Below are 24,830 nucleotides of genomic sequence, written 5' to 3' on the forward strand. Positions count from 1 at the left end.
TGTCCTATAGCAATTCTTCTCAGCTGCATGACAGACTTGAAAACCAGCAGCCTTGCAATCACAGTAGCTGTGAGAAAAAGCAACTTTGCAACCACCAAAGAGGGGGACACTGGGTTTGGAGCTCCTAAAAAAACTCGATTCCAAGAGCATTGCCACTATGTTAGCTGTTAGGAATCTCCCTGAAAAAGCACCCTTTCTAGGATTTGTCTTTACTCAAGCTGACTCCCTACTGTCCCCAGGAAAAGCCATATCAAAGAATCAGCAGCAATTATTAACCATTGCATCTTCCAGAGGCTGTGATGCTAATTGTGGCAAACAGGAAGCAAGATATAGGGTTTTTTTTAATATATTCTAAATTTTCCCAACTTTCCTGTTTATCTTTGTCTCTTTCCTGCACTCTAGCATGCACATGTGTGCACGCACACACACACACACACACAAACACATGCACACATCACCTTCTTCCTTTAGCTGGAAAACTTGCATAGATCTACTCATGCACATAAAAGGCCTCAGATATCACTAGTCCACTAGGTCCGCCAAGATGAATCTAGTCTGCTCCTAGCTGACACTCTGCTGCACCCATGTCACCATGTTCTTTGCATGGCATCACCTTATCTTGATATGTTTCAAAGAAATTCAAACCTACCACTGGCACCAGGGAAATGCTTTTATCTCTCTATCTCAACTGTCCTGAAAGTATGTGTGTGTAAAGAACTCCATACTGTAAACATATTATTACTGGGATCTGTTTTTTGAATGTATCATAGAGAACACATGATATATACAATATCTTGATAAACGATACCATAAAATGATTCTCGTTTCTCATCATTACAAACATCAGCATGGCATGAGGTTAATAAAGGAATGACATCTGTATTATCTAAAATTAAGTCTACTAACTATATTTATAAGCTAAAAAGTCAGCCTGCCACAGTGATAGGTAGATAGATAGATAGATAGATAGATAGATAGATAGAGATAGACAGATATAGATAGATAGATAGATAGATAGATAGATATAGATAGATAGATAGATAGATAGATAGATAGATAGATAAATAGATGCTCTTCTGGTAATAAACACAAAGTGTCTAGATTAGAAAACAGATAGTTGAATATTCACAGAGCATCTTAGCACTGAGAAGGCTATGAGAGACTAATGTTATCCTGCACAGACAAGAGTTGAGTATACCACCATGGACTCACAAACTATGACACTTGGAGTTTGGCTGGCACATTGACCCATCCTTTCCTCAGGTGAGGGAGAGTCTTTTATTTTGCGATGTTAGCAAATGTTTACAGGGGAGACGTCTCTAAACCTCTCTGAAGCAACCTACTATCTCTATCTTCCAAGATACATTTGCTATTCAACCCTACTTTAACCAAGTTTGCCAGTGGTCTTTCCTCAAAAAGATTGGACTGTGTGGTAATCTGAAAATATTTCATGGAGAATTGCCTCTCAATAATCAAATCCAGGGATTGACACCAACCTAGTGACTTTCCCTGATTTACTCTACAGCTTTTGGTATTGAATAATGAAAGGTTGAGGGATGAATACAAAGGAAGCTTCTTATCCCACAGGAAAAAATTAAAATGCTTTATTTGCCAATATTGACATTTTCATTAAACAAATGAATGACATTCATAATTATTACCTTAATTAAAACTATCAGAACTTTTGAGAGTATTCATTTACGGACAGTAAGAAGGTACTCAATTGTATTTTCAGATTATAGTACTCTACTTGAAAATAAGTTATTTTAACATTTTAGCCCCATATATTTTCTTGAAAAGGCACAACAAAAATGATCACATCAGCAGAGATTATTTCTTTCATCATTAAAGAGGCAATACATTATTACAGTGTATAAATTCTACTCAGACAAGGCTATTTCATTTAATCCTCACTAACCCCTCCCTACTCTCCAGGAAGACAAAATATTACATAAATACAATGAACTTTATTTACCTTAATATAGTAAAAACATACCATAATCTCTGGGACACAGCTAAAGTAGTGTTTAGAGTGAAATTTATAGGACTAAATGCCCACAGGAGAAAGCAAGAAAGATGTAAAATCGACACCGTAACATCACAATTAAAAGAACTAGAGAAGCATGAGCAAACAAGTTCAAAAGCTAGCATAAGACAAGAAATAACTAAGATCAGAGCAGAACTGAAGAAGACAGAGACATGAAAAACCCTTCAAAAAATCAATTAATACAGGAGCTGATTTTTTGAAAAGATTAACAAAATAGATAGACCACTAGCCAGACTAATAAAGAAGAGAGAAGAATCAAATAGACACAATAAAAAATGATAAAGGGGATATCTCCACTCATCCCATAAAAATACAAACTACTATCAGAGAATACTATAAACACCTCTATGCAAATAAACTAGAAAATCTAGAAGAAATTGATAAATTCCTGGACACATACACCCTCCCAAGACTAAACCAGGAAGAAGTTGAATCCCTGAATAGATCGATTACAGGTTCTGAAATTAAGGCAGTAATTAATAGCTTACCAATCAAAAAAAGCCTAGGACCAGATGGATTCACAGCTGAATTCTACTAGAGGTACAAAGAAGAGCTGGTACCATTCTTTATGAAACTATTCCAAACAATAGAAAAAGAGGGACTTCTTCCTAACTCAGTTTCAGAGACCAGCATCATCCTGATACCAAAACCTGGCAGAAAAACAACAAAAAAAGAAAATTTCAGGCCAATATTCCTGATGAACATCAATACAAAAATCCTCAACATAATACTGGCAAACCAAATCCAGCAGCATATCAAAAAGCTTATCCACCACCATCAAGTCGGCTTCATCCCTGGGATGCAAGGCTGGTTCAACACACGCAAATCAATAAACGTAATCAATCACATAAACAGAACCAATGACAAAAAACACATGATTCTCTCAGTAGATGCAAAAAAAGGCCCTCGATATAACTCAACACCCCTTCATGCTAAAAACTCTCAGTAAACTAGGTATTGATGGAACATATCTCAAAATAATAAGAGCCATTTATGACAAACCCACAGCCAATATCATATTGCATGGGCAAAAGCTGGAAGTATTCCCTTTGAAAACCAGCACAAGACAAGGATGCCCTGTCTCACCACTCCTATCCAACATAGTATTGGAAGTTCTGGCCAGGGCAATCGAGCAAGAGAAAGATATAAAGCGTACTCAGACAGGAAGAGAGAAAGCCAAATTGTCTCTGTTTGCAGATGACATGATTGAATATTTAGAAAACCCCATTGTCTCATCCCAAAATGTCCTTAAGCTGATAAGCAACTTCAGTAAATCTCAGGATACAAAATCAATGTGCAAAAATCACAAGCATTCCTATACACCAATTATGGCCAAACCAGCTAAACCAAGCTGTGAGCTATAGCACACAGAACTATAGAGACAGCTAGGAAACTGGTATAAACCTGTGTCTCTCCAACAGTTTCAGCAACACAATTGTTGAATGAAAATAAAAATGCACTTTCTTCTAAACTTTTTATTGATATACCTGATCACAATTCCTTTCACTTAGAAGAAACAACTTTATTTTAAATAATGACATTTACATATGAAACAAGAAAATTAAATTATCTTTTATGTGAGGTCATCTTAATTTTCTTTTGATATATATTTTTTGACATACATTATTTCTGCCAATTTTGTCTTTACAAGCATTCTGTAAGGAAGATGCTCTTCTCATAGGATCCTTCAGGTGTCGCTTTTCTGTCCAGAAACCTCTGTGGTCGGTGGTGCCTTTGTCTGAATTTTGCTTTGGCCCACTGTGCTTGATGTGCCCACTCGGCCTGGCAGCCTGAACTCAGCTTGCGTGACAAACCTGGATCCCATGCCTGCCAAGGGTGAGCCAGGCACAGAGCGGTGAGGATTGTGTGAATGAGCAAGCATGGGGTCCAGCCACTGCCCACAGCCAGGCACTCTGGCTGCAGCAGGGTGGGCAGTGCCAGGCACCAGCTCCCTGCAAGGCTGTGGCTGGATGAGGCACACTGCAAGTAGCTTCCATGGCTGGCACCAGGGAATGTGGTGGCACCCAGAAACTTGGAGATGCCAGGAACCACAGAACCCCAAAAAGGGCATCACAGCCCTGGCTCAGGGTGCTCCCAGGTCTGGGTTGTCTGAAGGGCTGAAACTCTTCTCTCCTTCTTTCTTATCTTTTTCTTGTTGCCTGCCATGTGGCAAGCAGGGGGTGTATTTCAGCCCTGTTTGTGTTACATCTCTTTCAGCCCCACCATTCGGCAGGTCCCAAGTTCTTGTACTGCATCCAGGAAGAATGAGTTATGCAGACAAGTAGAGGGTGAGCAAGGTGAAGAGGTACTTTATTGAGCAACAGAACAGCTCAGAGGAGACCCACAGTGGTTAGCTCCTCTCCATAGGCAGGTCATCCCAATATCTGTTCAGCTGTCAGCAGAAAGGAGACCCACAGTGGGTAGCTCCTTTCTGCAGGCTGATTGTCCCGTTGTCCACTCAGCTCTCAGGAGACAGGAGACCCACAATGGGTAGTTCCTTTCTGTAGGCAGGCCATCCCATCATCTGCTCAAGTCTGGCTGAGTCCAAGATTTTTATGGGCTTAAGAGGGGAGAAAGTAGGTGCTGATCGGCCCGTGAGCAGTCATGGGAGGCCCCAGAGCAAGCTCCATTAAGTTCTCACTCCATGGCAGCCCTCCGGCAGGCTTCAGGCCGTCCCTGGCCTGAAGATGGGGCTTTACTGGGGATCTGCTCCTTTCTGCCCAGGAGCCTGTTTGCATCCTACCACCATTAACCTGCTCTCCATGGTGCCTATGGTGCCCTGGCTCTTTGTGCCAAGTGGTGCCTGCAAGACTGCGCTGAGCCACCCTTAGCCCCCACCTCACCCTCCCTCCCATGTTTGTGAGCACCCAAAATCTGGAGGAGGCTGAGGTGATAGGGGGCTGGTGTTTCAGTGCTGCCCCAAGCGTGCACACACCCAGCCGAGTCGTGACAGCCCCCAGGCTTGGCCACAACTTTGCTCTGAAATTGGAGTGGGCACTGGGAATGGGCAGAGGTCAGGCAGCGAGAGCAGGCACTTTTGAGCCTGAAGGGGCAAGGGTGTTTCCTGGGGCCCTGAGAGTGCAGTGATGCCTGAGTCCACAGCTGGCTGCTCTGCCACAGCTGCCCCTGGGAGGGCAGGGCTCCAGCTCCTCCAACTTGGAAGGGGGCATGGCTTCCACCTGTTCCCGGCTCCCACCAGTTCTATGGAGCACTCAGCCCTGGCTGTGCCTCCCCCATTGTAGCCAGTGTCATGCAGCGGCCACTCAAGGTGGGCCGCCGCTGCCATCAGTATTGCTCTGTCAATGATAGAAACAGTAAACATGGTATTCACGTAAGGAAATAAAGCACAGTGAAGTTGAAAAAGATACTCTTAAATAGCTTTTACAGCAGGCATCATGGGACCATAAGTACCCGTGTTCTGTTGGCAAGAGACCAGAGAGACAGGACGGCCAAGACACTGTAAACCTTGGAACTTTGGGTGAGTTTTCTCAGCTATAAAATGGTGATAATGATACCTATCTCACAGGGTTCTGTTACATGGGTCAAATAGAAATACAGAAAACCATTATGTTTTATTATTATAGTTTCTGGGAAAGAGATGATTTTAAAATTTTGTAATATGGTTTACCAATAACCTGATGTTAGGAAAATTCTGAGAATCATCATTTGGGATTGTGTTTCTGGCCTTCAAAATGCTCCTCATTTTTAACCATTCCCTGAAAAACTCATGTTGCCAATCAAATCTGAATTACTGCCTGCCTATACAGGCCACTCTCCCCAAAACAGACTGCCTTTTAACCATGATTCGAGATTTAGTTTTCATAATAGGAAATAACAGTTTTGCAGCATGGTCTGGCAGAGCTTTAAAGAACAGCTTCAATCAGGCTGAGATGTGCTTTTACTAACCATATTTCCTGTAGCTGCACAGACAATGAGAAAGCACTTCTGTGAGCAGAACCAATTATAAGTGAACAGGTACACTTTTTCCCAAGCCTGGTCATGATGTCAAATGCTTGATTAGAAAAGTCTTGTGCTTTTAGCTAAATGGGGGTAGATTTCTTTCCATTTGCAAAAACAAGCCATTTCCACCTTTCATTCCACAGCCTCTCAACATCTAAATTCTCATTTCTCAACGGCAAATAGAGTCACAAATGTAACCCCTTGAAATAAGGGAAACAATATTGTGATATTTGTTCGAAAACAAATTGAGTTAGTTTCAGGAAGGAATAGTCTGCACTATTGCACAGAATCAAAAGCATTGTGTGATCCTGGAGAGAACAGGGACAAGCTACAAGCAGACAATGGGTCCCAGTTGAGGAAACATTGGGACGGATTTGGCAGCCATGAAGAGGAATCTCAACAAGAGTGACAAATAAGGGAAAACTTTAAGATCAAATGGATTAAAAAGCTGGTGGGGAACCTCCATGTGCATATCTGATAGAATGACACAACCACAGTAAATCAGGTTTTGGAAGTGCAGGACTGAAGTGGAGGAGTTGTGATTCTGAACAGAGGCAGTTCCTGGGAAAATCCTCCCAGAGAAGGTAAGAAAAGATAAAAACAGGAACCAAGTTTCTACTACATGCAGGATTAAGAAGAGAAAGCAGGCCCCATGAAATCAAGCATTACAGACAAGGACTTCTATTTGGGTGCCAAGGACAAAGAAACAGGGAATGCACCAAGAAGACTACCATCCCTCAAAATACCGCAGGCTCACTTGGGGTCTTTCCTGTTTCCTGTCTTTAAAATTTTTCAGCTATAGCAAAGCAACCTGTAGATATTTCAAGGAACTCAACTGAATTTTTTTGTTTAAAATGTATTATTCAACACTTAACTGGCCAGTGCATAAGTACAGAATCACAGATTGATAGAATATTTAACTAGAAGAAATAGTACTGATCATTTACTCTAACCTCATTTTATAAGCAAGGACACTAAGATTATCCCAGACCACAGAGCAAACTATTTACAGAGCCAGGGCGAGAACCATATTCTCCAAATTTCCAGATAAAGTTGTTGTTGGCTTTCCCACTATAGTTATCTAACTCCAGATTAAACTTTCAACATTTTCCCCCAAAAAAGCATCGTATTTAAAGCCTAAAAGAAGATCATTCTGTTAATAACAGAACCCAGGTAGAAATAAGCTAAATTTTAAGTCAGAATTGGAGAAGTTATAAAATGAAGATTACTTAATGAGAGTAAGAGGGAAAATGCAACCAGAAAGAAACACTTTTGGCTTTGCACTTAAAGCAGATGTAGAATTAACCATTTCTTATTATCTCCATTGCTATCTTCCTAGCCCATAGCAATATTAAGACGGCAATGTTCTTCTAACTGGACTTTCTGTTTCCATTCTTGCTCCACTAGTGTCTAACCTCAACACAAAAGCCAAAATGAGCCCTTTAAGATGTAAGTCAGTTTATGTCATTTCTCCACTCAATTCTCTAATTGTTTCATCTTTCATGAAAAATTAAGCCAAGATTACTACAACAACCTCAAGGACCTACACAATCTGCTTCCCAAATTTCCTCTCTGATGTCATCTCCTTTTATCAGTTTCAGTCGCAATATTTCAGCCTTCTGACCTGCTGGTTGAATCATTTTTATTTAATACAGGGTCTTAGTATGTTGTCCATGCTGGTCTTCTACTTCAGCACCCTGAGTAGCTGGGACTGTGCCACTATGCCTGTCTCTGCCTGTCTTGAACACATTAGACACAGTCCTGCCTTAATGTGTTTATTATCTCTTTCCTCTGTCTGGAACATTTCCTCTCACTATGCACATCTCATCTTACCAATTCATGTCTTTGTACAAATGTCATCTTCTCAGTAAGGTACACCTTGATATTCTTTCAAAAATTATTCTACACCCCTTAAACTCTTAGTCCTTACCTCTTGCTCTATTTTTATAGCACTCTTAATGCTCTAACATTTACCTGATCATTTAGCTGTATCATTTACTTCCAAGACAAAGTAAACATTAAGAGGAGTATCAGACCATTTACGGAGGTGTTTTATTACTGATGAAAATGTAACACAAAAAAACAGTATGTAAAATATAATAACCAACAGATATTTGCAGAAAGAAAGACTTGACGGAAAGCAGATGTTCATCATGTTAAAATACATAATCTTTGGTTTTATTCAGATGTGAGAATATAAATTCTGTACCATAGACAGTTCCATAGCATTGAAAGTTCCTAATGCTCAAGGAGATGACCTGATATCTCCCACGAGTTTATAGATATGTCAGAAGTACACCAGAAATTGTTAGAAACATACACATGGCTTTCATGAGAAGATTTAGCTAAATAGAATAGAAAACCATTTGCCAAGATCGGAAAACCAAGTATCATAAAAATTCAAATTCTCCCAAATTAATATGCTTAATATAATTGCAATCAAAAATCTCACCAGATTTGTATTATTATTATTATTATTTTTTGAGATGGAGTCTTGCTCTGTCACCCAGGCTGGAGTGCAGTGGCACGATCTCGGCTCACTGCAAGCTCTGCCTCATGGGTTCATGCCATTCTCCTGCCTCAGCCTCCTGAGTCGCTGAGACTACAGGTGCCTGCCACCACACCCGGCTAATTTTTTGTATTTTTAGTAAAGATGGGGTTTCACCTTGTTAGCCAGGACGGTCTCGATCTCCTGACCTCGTGATCTGCCCGCCTCGGCCTCCCAAAGTGCTGGGATTACAGGCGTGAGCCACCGCGCCCGGCCACCAGACTTTTTTTAGAAGTTAATAAAGTGTTTTACAGGCTCATTTGAAAGTACAGGAAGCTGAGAATCTAAGTAATTACTGATAAGAAAAAGATTAATACTAAGAAGAAGAAGAAAAAAATTAAGTTGGTGCAAAAGTAATTGCAGTTCTTGACACTGAAATTGCTTTTGCGCCAACCTAATACATATCCATATTAGGAAGTACTAGAAAGTCCTACATTGTAAGTAACTGATACTGGTTTAAGACAATTAGGTAAATCAAAGACACAGAGTAAAAAGTTGAGAAACTGCTTCCAGAAAAGACAGGTAAAGGATTGTTTAGTCAATATGTGGTACTGGGGAAATACACTAACCATTTGTGAAAATAGTTTGATCCTCACTCCATACTATATGCAAAATAAATTTTTTCACAGATTAAAAAGTTAAATAAGAAAATAAAAATTTAGAATACATTATAGTGGATCTGATTTCAAGGCAAGTTAACCTTTCTAAGATTAAAAGTATAGAACTAAATATGAGAATGAGCATTTTAATGCATTTGATTTATTATTATTATGATCATTATTAAGCAAAAAACTAATGTGGGTTGATCCTGGGTAGAAAAGCATTGATTTTGTGAGATGAAAAACCTTGAAGTGGGTTAAGGTTTAGAGTTAAGGGCCATCAGAAATTAGGGATTAGAACTTTTACTTCCTGTTCCTAGCCATTATCACCAAACCTTCAGCAAATTTATGTTCACCTACAAGTGCGTTTTTAGTGGTTCCTTAAAAAATAAAAAAGGACAAATTTAATTGATAGCTTGAGGCACTAAAGACCAGATCAACCTTATGCAGTCGGAATGCCTGTATTGAAGTGATCCAAGGTGATTGAAAACTAAAGAAGAGTGATGAGCAAGAAAGCAAAGGAGACAAAAGGAGAAAACATAAAGATCCCACATAACTTTTTGGAAATAATGGAGGAAGCATTGCCAAAACTATATGAAATTGAGAGCTTATTTGATTTTACTTAGATATTAAAGCAAAATTTGACATTCAAAGAATGACTGGAGATAATTGCATTGCACATACGTACACAGAAACACTAATATGTATAGACACGCACACATAAATACATGGGTATATACAGTATATACCCATGTTTGGTATGCAGAACACATATACATGCATACTCATCAGCAATTTATTGAGTAAGCTGAACTTTATAGTGTCTACACAAGAGCCACCTTGATTCTCACTGTTTTATATCCCTTCAAATCTCTGTGAACTAGTGGTTATTCTAACTCTGCATAAAATCATGGGGAAATCCCATAGTCTTTAGTGAGTACATGGTTCATAAAAATCCACTTGACTCCAGCTCAGTTTAGCATACTAACAAAGCTCAGAATCCTTCTCTAAGTCAAGGCTTCTTCCTGCTGTAGCTTAATCCCACTTGAGTTTTTTAAGTCTACAGAAGAGAAGCAAGTATGTTTGGCTGCTTAATGATGTGCTCTCTTCAACTCCTGCATCCGTGCACTAACCTTTCTTTTTTGACTTCTCCAGCTTAGGGCCTTGGGAGAAAGTGGAATAAGAAGAAAGGATATACACTCTTGAATCACTAATATCTTTATAATGTTGAAATGGCAGGAGTCAAAAACTAACCCTTTTTTTCATAGGTCACTTCTTCAGACTAATGGGAAACCATCCCATTGAGAACCACACAAGTTTCTTTGACTAAGGCTAAGAATGTACCACTACCACCCTCAGTGCTTCTACTCCAGGAAATATATGCACTAGTCAAGGTCCCTTTCAATCTCTCAAGTTCACACCTTGTCTTCAGAGAACCCACACCTTCATTCTGCTATTGACATAAGTGCAGTTTTCTTTCAAAATAACTTACCCCAGGCAAAGGGAAGCTCTAGTCACAGCCTCTTACCTTTAGATTTTGCAGATATGGGTCAAAGGCCAGCTCCTATTTTCTTCCAACTCCTACAGCTCATTGGCAAGACCTCCAAATGGATCACCTGAAGATCCCATCACATAACTTGAAGTGAGGGAGAAGAACCCAACATCTCTTACCCATAATGCCAGGGACTAAAAATTCACAGGATATGGTTAACAACCATCTGTAAAACAATCTTCTCTCTTTATTTTGCTAACTTCTCAATGTTTCTCTAATTTATCTGAGGTGAAAGAAAAGCACTTAAAGAACACTTGCTCCTTGCTTCCAAGATGGGAGACTAGCTAATACTGCTGGCATCAATTATAGGACCTTCACCTTCCAAGTCCTGCATACACAGTTCTGCAGCTCACTTTAAAATGTGGGGGTTCACAGGCATTTTGTTCTCAGGCTTTGGTTTCTCATGCTTTGGGTTCCCAGGATGAAGAGTCAGTGAAACAATCTGTTAGACTACACACATGTGTACATACGCATATGTGTTCATACGTCACTTTATCACAGACACAGATGAATACAGAATCATGCACGTATGTGTGTCTGAGTCTATATGTGTATGAATAACGGAAATATAATATTGACAGTACAAAATATTAATATGATGAAAGTGCTCCTGATTTTATTTTCCTCTTTCATTTTTCTCTTTTCTAAAATAGCGTGCCTTACTCTTAAAACCACAAGTGTATATTTATATGCAAACACATAACAGTGGATCTTATTTTAAAGTTGTGATATTAGTTCAAAAAAATAAAAGATCACTGAAAATGACTAAGTAGTTAAGAAACAGAATTTTTTTTTTCTTTTATTATTATACTTTAAGTTTTAGGGTACATGTGCACATTGTGCAGGTTAGTTACATATGTATACATGTGCCACGCTGGTCTAAATAAAGGATGGTTTCGAATTCTAGCTTACACTCTGAGTAGTAGTTCTCTTTCTTCAGATCTTTCATGAACTATGATCACACATTTAAAATAAGATTCATAATTATTCTCTGAGCTTCAGTGTTCATGTCTTGGGAATATTAATAACACTCATAGGGATATGGAAAGAATTGAATGAGAACTATTTAGTTACTTAAATGTTAGTGAGCCCCCAATAAATGGTTGTTTAAAAAAGTAACAAAATTCCAATTGAAAAATTAAAGACGGCCGGGCGCGGTGGCTCACGCCTGTAATCCCAGCACTTTGGGAGGCCGAGGCGGGCGGATCACGAGGTCAGGAGATCGAGACCATCCTGGCTAAAACGGTGAAACCCTGTCTCTACTAAAAAAATACAAAAAATTAGCTGGGCGTGGTGGCGGGCGCCTGTAGTCCCAGCTACTCGGGAGGCTGAGGCAGGAGAATGGCGTGAACCCGGGAGGCGGAGCTTGCAGTGAGCTGAGATTGTGCCACTGCAGTCCAGCCTGGGCGACAGAGCGAGACTCCGTCTCAAAAAAAAAAAAAAAAAGAAAGAAAAAAGAAAAATTAAAGACTCAGAAGAGAATAAAGTATTTGCAGGCTGCAAAAATTTAATATAGCCAAATACTAAATGTATAAACGTGAGGCAAGGTATGAAGGTAGAAAGGCTTGAGAAATAAATAATGGACAGGCGATAAACTATTGAAAAGAAAGCCACAACACGTTCTCAGCAAGAGAGATACATGGTAAGATTTTCTTTTTAGAATTATCAAATTGTCAGTAATGTGGATAATAAATTTAAGTGTGGTGATCAAAAACAAAAAGACTAGTTAAGAGATGGTCTCAATAATCCAGACAAGAAATGATGAAGACCTGAAGTAAGGAAGTATATATATTCAAGAGATGTCAAAGAAATAGAATCTACAGGATTTGATGATTGACAAATGCAAACAGGAATAAAAAAGGAAGGACTGTTCCTACATATTTGGTTTAGGCAAGTCAGTAGATGGTGGTGGCATTTGCAAAGATAAGAAATGAGAACCCCATTGGTAATCTTTCTTTCTTTCTTTCTCTTTCTTTCTTTCTTTCTTTCTATCTTTCTTTCTTTCTTTCTTTCTTTCTTTCTTTTTTTCTTTCTTTCCTTCTTTCTTTTCTTTCTGGACCATGTAATAGTTCTTATATTGTTCACTAGTACCCAGTTTCCCTCTACTTTCAGGCTTAAGGGAAGGTTACACTTTCACACTCGAACATACACACGGACTATGATTTTCTCTGGCCAATTAAATAAGTGCAATTGATAGAGATAGAGATCTCACATTTGTACATTATTTGTAGTTCTTGATTCTCTACCATCCTTTACCCATACCATGATAACAAGTCATATTCCCGAAGAAGGAGCCAATTGAGGATGATGTATTTCAGAAAATTTTTCCTTGACAAGTTATAAGTGACCAATTTAGTCATAATGATGTTCACAATTTTTATTAGGGGAAAAAAGCATCAATTAGCCATGGCTTGAATTTTGATTCTAAAATCACAAACGTTCTTCATAGTACTGAGTCCCTTAAAATGTTGTTCATTATTTATACCTGAAAAGCAATAATCCATACATGTGGTCTTGGAAAGTTATCCATTGTTGATGAGCTTTTTCTCATCTGTAAAATTGGGATAATAATAATTAGGGAATTAATTTCACTAGTTTTGTATGAGGACTAAATGAGTTGATGCATGTAGAAAACAGAATAGTGACTGATTCATTGTTGGCACTCAGCTAATAAAGCCCTCTGGTTCTTATATTTTAGATTTTTTAATATATTTCCTTTGTTCCTTATATTTTGGACTTCCTCAGAAAAAAAATTCCATCTTCTTCTCTCATGGGCTACCCACTCTAGCTTCATCTCACCTTCTCAAAGGACATTATTTATCACATATTTGTTGACACTTGAATCATCATCCCTAGCTTAGATTTCTTTCCTAAAGTACAGACCCATGGTAAACATCATACTAGGCATCTCAACTCAGAAATTTCAAACCAAACTAAACTGTAACCTTGCTTCTGTAAAACCATCTGCGTTGGTTAATACTGAGTGTTAACTTGATTGGATTGAAGGACACAAAGTATTCATTCTGGGTGTGTCTGTGAGGGTGTTGCCAAAGGAGGTTAACGTTTGAGTCAGTGGGCTGGGAAAGGCAGACCCACCCTTAATCTGAGTGGACACAATCAAATCAGCTTAGAGTGCAGCAGAATATAAGGAGGCAGAAAAATGGGAAAGGGGAGACTGACCTAGCTTCCCAGCCTACATCTTTCTCCTGTGCTGGATGCTTCCTGCCCTTGAACATCGGACTCCAAGTTCTTCAGTTTTGGAATTGGACTGGCTCTCCTTGCTCCTCAGCCTGAAGATGGCCTATTGTGGGACCTATATTCCATTAGTTCTGTCCCTGTAGAGAACCCTGACTAATATAGATTTTGGTAACAGGAGTGGTTCTAGAGGAAGAGGAACAGAATATTAAGGATGAAGTTCTTTCGTTGGTTTTGGGGTTTCTGGAGTTGGCTGCATAATATGATTAGATCAAAAAATGCTAAGGACTCTACTTCTAATAGTGTGGAGAACACTGAGTCCTTGGCATGAACTGTTTAGAGAGTTATGCAAAATAAATGCATTTGACATTCCTGATACATGCTCATGAGAGGCAAGGAGTTTAGTGACTCTATACATAATACCTTTGACCATATGTGGAGAACCAAGGAACCTTTGACCATACGTAGAGAATATAATGAAGCTCCTTGGTTGCTCCTAAGTTCAGTGGGCAAAGTGATGAATGAAATCGAGGATTCTATCTCCTGGCTTCAGAAGCAGATATCAAGCCTCAGATCTGCTAAGATTGCCCTGAGTCTCCTGTACAGAAAGAGCTGAAATTGTGGAAAAATAGACACAAGCTCTTATCATGTGAGTGGCTGACCTGCAACAAAAGGTACATGCACACCCTTGCCAGGTGTCTACTGTTAAAGTGAGGGTATTGACTGGAAAAGAATGGGACCCTGCAACTTGGAATGAGGACGAGTGGGAGGACCCTGAAGAAGCTGGAGACACTGAGTTTCGAAACTCTCATGAACCTTTTTTGCTTTTTTGCCAGAAGAAACAGCTTCCCCATCCCCAGTAGTGACAACATCCCCTCCTCAACCCATGCTGCCATCAGCCTTTCCACCTTTGTCTGAGGAGATAAACCCTGCGCTGCCTGAGGCAACGGTGATGGCCTCCCCTGAGGCGGTTGCCAGGCAAGATAATGTTGATTCTGCTCAGGAGCCACCCCCAACACCCCTGTGTGCTTCTAGACCTACAACTAGACAAAAGTCCTGGTGGGGCGCTAGAGGTGAGGTTGAGAGTGTGACCCATGAGGAGATGCACTACACGGGAAAAGAACTGCTTGAGTTCTCTAATTTATATAAAGAGAAATCTGGAGAACAGGCATGGGAATGGATATTAAGGGTGTGGGATAATGGTGGAAGGAACATACAGTTGGATCACCCTGAATTTGTTGATTTGGGCCCACTAAGTAGGAACTCTGCATTTAATGTTGCAGTTCGGGGAGTTAAAAAAGGTTCTAAGAGTTTATTTGCTTGGTTAGGTGAAATATAGATTAAAAGATGGCCCACTGTGAGCAAGTTGGAAATGCCTGATCTTCCTTGGTTTAATGTAAAGGAAAAGATCCAAAGGCTTAGGGAGATTGGGATGGTGGAGTGGATTAGTCACTTTAGACCTACTCATCCCAGCTGGGAGGGTCCAGAAGATATACCCTTGACCAATGCCTTGCAAAATAGATTTATGAGGGCAGCACCTGCATCTCTGAAGAGCCCTGTAATTGCGCTTTTCTGTATGTCAGATCTAACGAGGGAACCACTGTCACTCAACTACAAAATTTAAATGTAGTAGGAATAATTGGATCCTGAGGTGGCAGGGGCCAAGTGGCAGCACTGAACATCAAAGCAAAGGTGGGCGTAGCTACCATAATGGACAGCAGAGGCAAAGAGGCAATCAGAATAATCTGATGTGTGTAGAGCTCTGGCATTGGCTAATTAATCACAGTGTTCCTAGAAGTGAATTTGATAGGAAGCCTACTGCATTCCTACTTAAATTATACAAACAGAAAACTTCTAGGTCGAATGGGCAAAAGACTAATTTGAGTTATAAAAAATAGAGAATCATGGCCCTTCAATCAATTTCCAGACTTGAGCCAGTTTACAGACCCAGAACCCCTTGAATGAAGGGGAGGCCAGGACTCCTTGTGGAAGGACCCCACTACATTACCGACAATTCATGCAGTGAATCTTTCTCCCATCCTTCCCCAAGGAGACCTCTAGCCTTTTACCAGGGTAACTGTGCATTGTGGAAAGGGAAATGTTCTGTCCCTGTGGAGAACCCTGAATAATGTGCTATTCTTCTACCTATGTTCTGTGTTTTTTATTTTAATGAATTTTCTGAATGTGTTTTAATCAATTTCACCACCATCCATTCTGATGCTTATGTTAGAAATCTGGATACTTTCCTTATCTTGTACCTTTCTTATTTTCTACAATTTATCAACCATACATCCTACACCTACCATATGCTAAAATTCTCTTGAATATGTGTCTTCCATTCACAGAGGCAGGCATCCTCTCTCTTATATTATTGTTTTAGCTTCCTAACTGGTCTCCCTGCCTCTGTTTGAATTGATTATCTATGCTATAATTAGAATATTTTAATGGCTGTATTCAGGTATGATTGATGATTTTAAGTGTACAGCGCTATGATTTTAATACATTTATAGATCTGTGCAACCATTATCATAATCCAGTTTTAGAACCTTTTCATCACCCGAAAATGTTCCTCTTGTCATTTGTCATTGAGTAGGCAGTGTTATGCCTACTTATCTCTCTAGGAAAACACTGATCTGCTTTCTTTTTTTTCTAAATTTTTCTTTGCTTATTATTAAAGTGTTCATTATTCTGTGCTCCTGAACACATTAACCCTTTATTAATCTTTTCCTGTTATACATCCCTATCTACCTTAATGAAGAGAAGACTTCATATTCTCTCTGGATCTTATATTATCACCTACTCAATATGGTATTCAAATTAATAGTCCTAAGTTCTACTCCTATTCTTAGTTCTACTTCCTGAAACTTATTTCAGCTAAATCCTGAATTGTTACTAAAGAGTTTTTGCTGATGCCAAAGTTCATCAGCTAAAGTTGTAATGTCTCATAGAGAGTTCAAGATATTCTCAACTTTCTTCACATCAGTGGATCAGGAAAGAAAAGTCCTAAGCATGATAAGCCTACATTCATCAGAATAGCATGTCGGTAGGAAGGCTCTTTCCTTACCTGATCACTTTCCCTGACCTTCAATCTCTTCCAGAGGTATAGTTGAAAACTGTAACTGCTACAGAACAGACATAGTGATACAGCTAGCATCTCCCAGGAGCTGAACTCTCCTTAAAAAATGACATTTACACATATTTAAGCAGATTTTAACAGAAAAATATGACACCATTTCTGGTTGCTTTCCTTTATGAATCCATATACATGAATAATTCTACTGACAGCCATTTTATATGCATAAAATAAGAAATTTGTGTGTGTGGATAGGAATTTTAAAAGTAGACATATATAGAAAAGAGACCAAAGACTGAGCTCAAAGGCACTTGAACATTAAGAGTTAAGGGAGATCAGAGAAGAGCTACCAAAAAAGATGAGAGAAAAATACAACCACTACAGTATAAAGAAATCAGGAAGGCATAATATTGCAGAATTCTAAGAAAGGATTTTAAAAAGTAGGTAGTGTTTAACTGTGCCAAATAGTACCTAGTATTCAAATAATATGAGGACTGAGGATTGACCATAAAATCTGGCAACCTGAGTATCATTGGTAACCATGACACACCTTATATACCCCTTAGCCTAAATTACCTTATCTGCAAAATAGAGATGATCACAGCATCCATCTCATGGAGCAATGTGGAAGATTAAATAAGAGATTAATACATGTAAGCACCTGGTATAGCGCCAGCTCAGTAATGAGCAGCTGGTGTTTTTATTACAAAAGATTGAGATCAGTCTGGATCATAGACCTTTGGATATTTTATTATTGAACACAAGATGTCTGACAACATTGTGAGAATTTGGTTGAAGCAGAGTCTAGTATGAATGGAAAATACAGAAATGATTTTACCTCAGGAGAAAAGCTGAAATCAGAACCAATGAAGAGAATAGCTTGGATAGGGTGGTTCTCAGCCTTGGATAACAATTGAGAAAACACGTCTTACATGACTTTGTGTTTTATCCTATTTCACAACTGGTAATTGCATACTTTTAAGACATTAATTACAACTTTTAAAAGCATTTGATAACAACAACAAACTTTTATTAAGGACAAATGGTATGTAAAGTTTAGTGATCTGAATGAGCGTAATGTCACAAGTCAGAATAATATTGGTATCTTTTCAGTTACACTAAAAAAAACAAATATTTATTCCTTTTATATATTGTGTGACTTCATAATTTTATAATCAGCCTTTTTAATTTTGTGTGCACCTTCATAAATAACAGTGGATTTATTATACATTTCTTGTGGCCTTTAATGTACAGTTTGATTCTTGTTTGTCTAATTTTGTAGTCAACAGCCTTCTGATTTTATAGAATTCTCTCTTATTTTGTTCTCATGAGATCTAAAATCGTCTGTGTAATTGGCTTGTGGTAAATATCTCAAAGGAGACCAATGGTAAATATCTCAAATGAGAGCATTAGAGATATTTTAACCTCTTACAAAGAGGCTAAAAGCAACTTGTCCTATTAGAAGTGTATCTTAATTAAGTATTGCTTAGAAAGTTTCTAAGACATCATGATTATACTGAAGTTAGATTCTGGACAAAGTGTATGAGAAAGTTTACGGCTATAAAAGGTTTGCTGAGAGTTTTTCCTTAAATAACGCATGCATGAATCTTTTCTTTGTCTATGAATTTTTAAAGTATTTATGGGCCCTCCGGTCTCTTAAATTTAAAGTTCATTTTCACTTTCTACTCTCTTCTATTTCTAAGACAAATCTTTTTCTTCTTACGTTTTTTACTTTTCAAAGTTTGGGAAAAAATACTGATTTTTGGAAGCCTATTTTATTGCATTCTTTCATAGCCATCTTGTGCTCATTTTCTGTCCTAATATTTATCCAGGAAAATTTGGTTTGGGAAGCAAAGCATAAATATATTTATTGATGTAGGTCTGATATCAATGAAAACATCACCGAAGATTAAAAGTAATGGTTAACTTGCAAGGAACTGGGGAATTGTAGCAAAACTTATTTGCTCAAATATATAGCTTATGTGTTATCAATTTATTTTTAGGCAAGGTTTTATTCTAAAATAAATTCACAATTGACAAATATAGTAATGGAAAATTCAGACAAATCTGTTTCAAAACTGCATAGCCAACTGGAACTTATCTCCTCTACTTTTCTTCAACTGCTCTTTTGATTTTTTTTTTTAAAGAAAAACTGAAGGTAATAAGCTCAAGGAAAGGAACATAAATATCTAGTGAGCCCACACTCAATTTTAGTGATTACAGGCACTAAAATTTCTATAGAGATTATAGGAAATTGGCAATTCAAATGCTCTCACTTAATACATACTGTGCAATGAACTGATCATTTTTCTGTTATTGCTATCATTTCAAACAGGAATTTCCATGTAGTGGACATTTTAGTAAATGAAAACTATTCTAATTTTCTTAAAGGCCAGAAATCTAGTGCAAAATAATTTAGTCCAAATTTGCTCAAGCTTTTTGCTAATCTATTGAGAAAATAAATAAATTTTATAAATTCACATTTTTTTCTGCTAAAAAAGTAATACTCAGTAACACCGAAAATATGACATCACATATTTGGTGGTATTTTTGTTCTTGACACTATAGATAAGGAGTGGGGGACAGTATTAGCTAATGTTTTTCATCATTGCCCCCAGGTGAGAACATTCTCAGTTGTTAAAAAGTTCAGAGAGGGCCAAAATTTTAGTTTCTTCACATATTTCCAATTGAAAGTGTACTTCAATCATGCCATAATGAAAACCATGTTCTTTAGCCATAAATTATCCAGAGAAAATCAGTATTTTATTATTAGTATGAAGACTTGTTCATTGTTTCTTGAAATTTCCCTAAAATCAGGTGATATTTGCGAATATTTTAGTTTAACCAATTCCTTTTCATTTAAAACTCAATTATACCAACTCAGCTATCCAGATAGAAGTATCAACACAGTACATGTCATGCCTAGAGCAAAACTAAAATTCAGATCACTCCTCTCCCATTCCAGAAGCACAAAAAGAGCTTGTAAATATTCCGTATGTGCCATTGGGCACAGATTTGTACCTTCGAGGTTTCAGCTATAACTCAAGTTTGGCTAACTTTCAACCCAGCACTTCCTTTATTCATCCTTTGCCCTCTTCTCCCGTCTTTTTCACTTCTTTAGTTGTCTGTTTATAGCCCATGCCATTTACTAGACAACAGACCTCTGGCAACTCAAAAACCATGATTTATTAATCTGTACATGTCTTACTCTAAGGAAAGCTCAAATAGCTACCAAAAAAATGCTAACATTGGCTAGGTGCAGTGGCTCATGCCTGTAATCCCAGCACTTTGGGAGGCCCAGGTGGGTGGATCACAAGGTCAGGAGTTCAAGACCAGCCTGGCCAAGATGGTGAAACCCCATCTCTACTAAAAATACAAAAATTACCTGGACGTGGTGGGGGGTGCCTGTAATCCCAGCTACGTGGGAGGCTGAGGCAGAGAATTGCTTGAACCCGGGAGGCAGAGGTTGCAGCGAGCCAAGATCACGCCATTGCACTCCAGCCTAGGCAACAGAGTGAGAATTCATTAAAAAAAAAAAAGCTAAAATTGTATCTCACAGTCAAAAAAGCTAAAATTGTATCTCACAGTCAAAAAAGCTAAAATTGTATCTCACAGTCAAAATTTGTCAATTTTTTAAAGGAAGTTCAAAAGTTTCCTTTATTTCTCTTATTTTCAGATTCAAAAACCCAATATTTAAATATGTCCGTATTCTATCTTCATTGTGTTGGGTCTTTGAAAAACTCTCTAACAGTAATCTTCCCTATTCAGAGGGAAATCAGTACTACAGCTTCTATATTACACGAAAAGGACCTACCATGAGTAGAAAGGTGTGAGTGTTCAGAAGCTCAGAGTCAGCTACAAATTCAAACACTCTTAATGTATTTATACTACATCAGGTTAACAAAAACAAAAACAAGTCACATTGTTTGTGACCAAACCCTATTGATAACAAACAAGTGGGTATAATACTACTCTCTAATGATCTAGATTTAGCCCAGTAACGTGGATTTCTCTAACACATTTCAGCCACTGTAACTGTCAAACCAGATCAGAAGTGACAATTTAGCACCAGCAGCAGCTGCTGAAGTGTTCTCTGTGCACTCCCCAGGAACCATTGCTTTCCTTCTGCCTTTTTCAGCCCTCACTCTAATTCTGGTGCAGGATTTTTTTCTGCTCATTTCACAGTACCTTGCCATTACTGCCTCCCTTGCTCTTTGCCTTAATGTCTCCTATGGGTGTTCTTGTCCGACAGAAATCTAGAAACTCAGGCAGCAAAGTGGACACTTGGGCATTAAATGGCCAAACAGAGTTAGTGAAATACAAGATTTCTGGTCCCAGCTGCAGTCTCTGAAGACATGGAATATCTCATCTTTCAACCAAAGGTTTGTTTTCTGTCTTGTTATAGACCCTTTCATCAGAATACAGAAGTTGCATTTCTCCTGTGTGGCACTCAGGAGTCGTAGCTATATATATCCACGACAGGCAAAAACCCCAGTGAGTATATGTTCTTCTGAACTATCTGAAACCACTTCTAACATACAAACCAACCTTCAAGGAAGGAGAATCTACCTGACAACATTTCTATTTAGAACACAATTTCAGGCCCAGCTTCATTTATTTAGTCACTTTATAATATTGTTTCCATCAGATTAAAATTCAGATGCACAGATCCTAAAGACATTATTTCTGCATTATGTCATAAACCTAAAGAAAATTTTGAGGATTCCCCTGGCCTATTCCCACTCCTTTGTTTAGATTCCATACATTATCCTTATAAACAGTTAACTAACACATTTAAAGAACAACTATAATATTATTTCACATAAAATCTCATAGGTCTTGAAGTAGGCTATAATCCTGTTGGTAACCATACCCCCACTCGTGTCCCTGCCCAAACTGAAATTATAATTCTAAAGTTTCTACACCAATCTATTTTTTTTTCTTTTTAGGTATTGCTAAAGCTGGAGAACAGTTGCCAATCTTACCTTGGAAAACAATTCTTTCTATTTCTCCTAGTTCCTGTAACCTGTCCTCATATATTCTTAATTTCCAAACATTTTAGATGAGCTTGTAGTGTTCATAACCAACCGCAGATACCTGCTATAGGTTAATTTGGCTAATGCAGGGTGAATTTTAGATTCTTACTCTTAGATTGCCCATACATCTGTCTGTTACTTAATGCAAGAAATGATTTAGTAAAGTTAATGATCCATTGGGAAGGCAAAAGTAAATTCATATAATGAAGCATCTAGGACTCTTCTCTGTGCATGTAAAACCACATTTTAATGAGCTAAATGAGTTTGAATATTTAAACTCTGAATAACTCTTACTATTTGTTATCCAAATTTAAAGCAATATTCCATATATAATCCATAATCTTAGAGGCTGTTTTTTAATGGCTGATTCCTACCTATGAAGTATAAAAAATGTTCTTCAAAAGCACACATGATAGAAGAGACTTCATGTAAATATCAAAAGAAACATAAAAGGAATATATGAAAGGATGACTTTGTGAGAATAAGAAATATTTGCAAAATTTTTGGAGTAGATTATGAAGAAACTGAAAGAGCTTCTGTTTACATTCTATAAACAATGTATTAAGCAGATTCCTGCCTTCATGGTAAAAAATAATCGCTGAAAATAAGGAGGTTAGTAGGTCTAAATACAGGTGAATTGTAGCATCCTCTGACATTTTAAAGTGATTTCAGAGAAAATATAATGCTTTATCTATCACACTAGAATTAAAGGAACTATTCATAAACAAAGAACTGTAGACTCTTCTCAACTGTCTGATAAATTCTCAACCAAAGCAGGGATTCCCTGACAATATCACTGACATGATTTCCTATCTTCTACTATAAACATTTTGGGGAGAAGAAACCTGTTCCAACATATTACACCAAATTTGTCCTCCCTTTAACTTTCACCCAGTGTTGAAGATGTCATAATGGAATATAAGTCTGCACTCTGCCACAAAGCAACTATTTAAATGTATAAAATAACTAATATCATCTAGTATCAAGTCTTCCAATTTTAGATTATCACTCAATGTCTTCAACTATTCCTCAAATGAAAATGGCTCCAGAACCTCTTAACATCTTTAACAGCTCCTTACAAACTCCAGTTAAAAGTCTCTAGAGTGAGACTCAGAATTGAACACCAAGACTCCATGTGGGGTCTGACCAGTAAAAAAACAGCTAGGAATTATTAAGTATCTGGAATCCTACATGTACAGGTTTAGTCAAAGATTTCATTCACTTCAGTTTAGTAGTCTAGGCGTAATGTTGTTCTGTGAGTTTCTCTCCTAATAAAACACTTAGATCATTTTCATTTAATGCCTGGCAAAGGACAATTTTTAAAAATTTTAACCTTTTTTTTTCCCTATGAGTGCTTTCTTTCTGATGGTAGTGGACATCTATTATTTGTATCTCCATATCTTCACATCCTGCAATTCTGTATTGCTAGATACTAGAGGCAACCACACCTCATTCTCCTCCCAACTGCTATGGTTTAAATATTTTATTCCCTCCAAAATTCATATGCTGGAAACTTAATCACCAACACAACATTGTTGGAAGGTGGGTCCTAATGAGATGTGTTTTTATTATGTGGGCAGAGCCCTCATTAATGGATTAATGCTGCTAAGAAAAGGGCTTGGGGAAAGAGTTCCCCCACTTCTGCTTTGTGACAACACAACATTCCTTCTCTCCAGTAAATGGAACAATAAGAGGCCATCTCAGAACCAGAGATGGAGCCTGCTGGCATTTTGATCTTGGACTTTCCAGCCTCCAGAGCTCTAAAACAATAAATTTCTGTTCTTTATGAATTACTGAGTCTGTGGTATTATGTTATAATAGCGCAAACAGATACCCTCCAATCGTGCCTCTAGTTGGAGTAAGCAATAAATTAGTTGAGTCAGGAGATGGGCATTAATCCAATCAAGGCCCTTTCATTTTTAAATTTTGAGCCAAAGAGATTATCTTCTTCTCTAGGGATGAAAAAATGAGACGTGAGATGCAGGAACTCTTAGCAGTAGGCTGGAAAAAAAAAAAACTGAGAAAGTTTGCCTGGGAAAAGAAAGCCAATATGTAATGAAAAGTAAAAACAACTTAGGCTGTTTTCAAGATCCTGGTTCCAATTATTCCTGAAGCTTAGCTGTACCCTTAAGTGCTCTATGGGTACATGTGCTAATAAATTCATTTAAAGCAAAAACAAACAAACAACAACAAAAAAAACCAACAACAACAACAACAAAAAGTTTCCAGCAAAACAGGTAGTGACTTGCATATAGATTTGACTGTCTATGGTTTTTAAGTATTCCTCCTTCTCAACTTGATGTCTTATATTATCTTTCTATTGTTACTATAATAAATTATTATCAACTTAGTGGCTTAAATAATACAAATTTATTATTTTACAGTCCTATAGGTTAGTAGCTGACGTGGGTCCCACTAGCTAAAACCAGTGTTGTCAGCTGCACTCCTTCCTGGAGACTCTGGGAAAGAATCTGATTCCTTGTCTTCTCTGGCTTCTAGAGGCCATTTGTGTTGCTTAGTTCATGATTCCTTTCCTCCATCTTCAAATGCAGCAATGTTGGATCTCTGACCATTCTTACATAGTTACATGTCCCTCTAACCCTGATCTTATCTGGAAAGGTTCTTGTAAGGACTCTTGTGATTAAATTGGACCCACCTGGATAATCCAAGATAATCTCATCTTGATGTCCTTAATTTTAAGCACATGTGCAAAGTCTCTTTTGCCATGCAAAGTAACATATTCATAGGTTCTGGGAATTTAGGCATATAAATATTTGAGTGAGGGGGAAATTATTCTGCCTACCACTAAAACACAAAGAA

At 38.0% G+C, this 24,830-nt stretch overlaps 1 protein-coding gene across 12 annotated transcripts in view; it reads right to left on the reverse strand.

Annotated features, from left to right (window-relative positions):
* THEMIS (thymocyte selection associated) overlaps nt 1–24,830 on the reverse strand; it is a 221,968-nt gene that overhangs the window by 90,229 nt on the left and 106,909 nt on the right. For 3 of the 12 annotated variants that reach the window (XM_047418767.1, XM_047418765.1, XM_047418763.1), the window contains one exon: nt 1–20,476. This exon is cut by the window's left edge and continues 26,983 nt beyond it. The exons of 8 other annotated variants lie outside the window; for them this stretch is intronic. In XM_047418767.1, coding sequence (XP_047274723.1) covers nt 20,285–20,476 — 192 coding nt within the window. In that variant the 3' untranslated portion in view covers nt 1–20,284. The remainder of the gene's footprint in view (nt 20,477–24,830) is intronic. One more of the 12 variants, NM_001164685.2, reaches the window with a different exon arrangement.

This window comes from Homo sapiens, chromosome 6 (assembly GCF_000001405.40).
Source record: "Homo sapiens chromosome 6, GRCh38.p14 Primary Assembly".
In the NCBI taxonomy this organism is placed as follows: domain Eukaryota; kingdom Metazoa; phylum Chordata; class Mammalia; order Primates; family Hominidae; genus Homo; species Homo sapiens.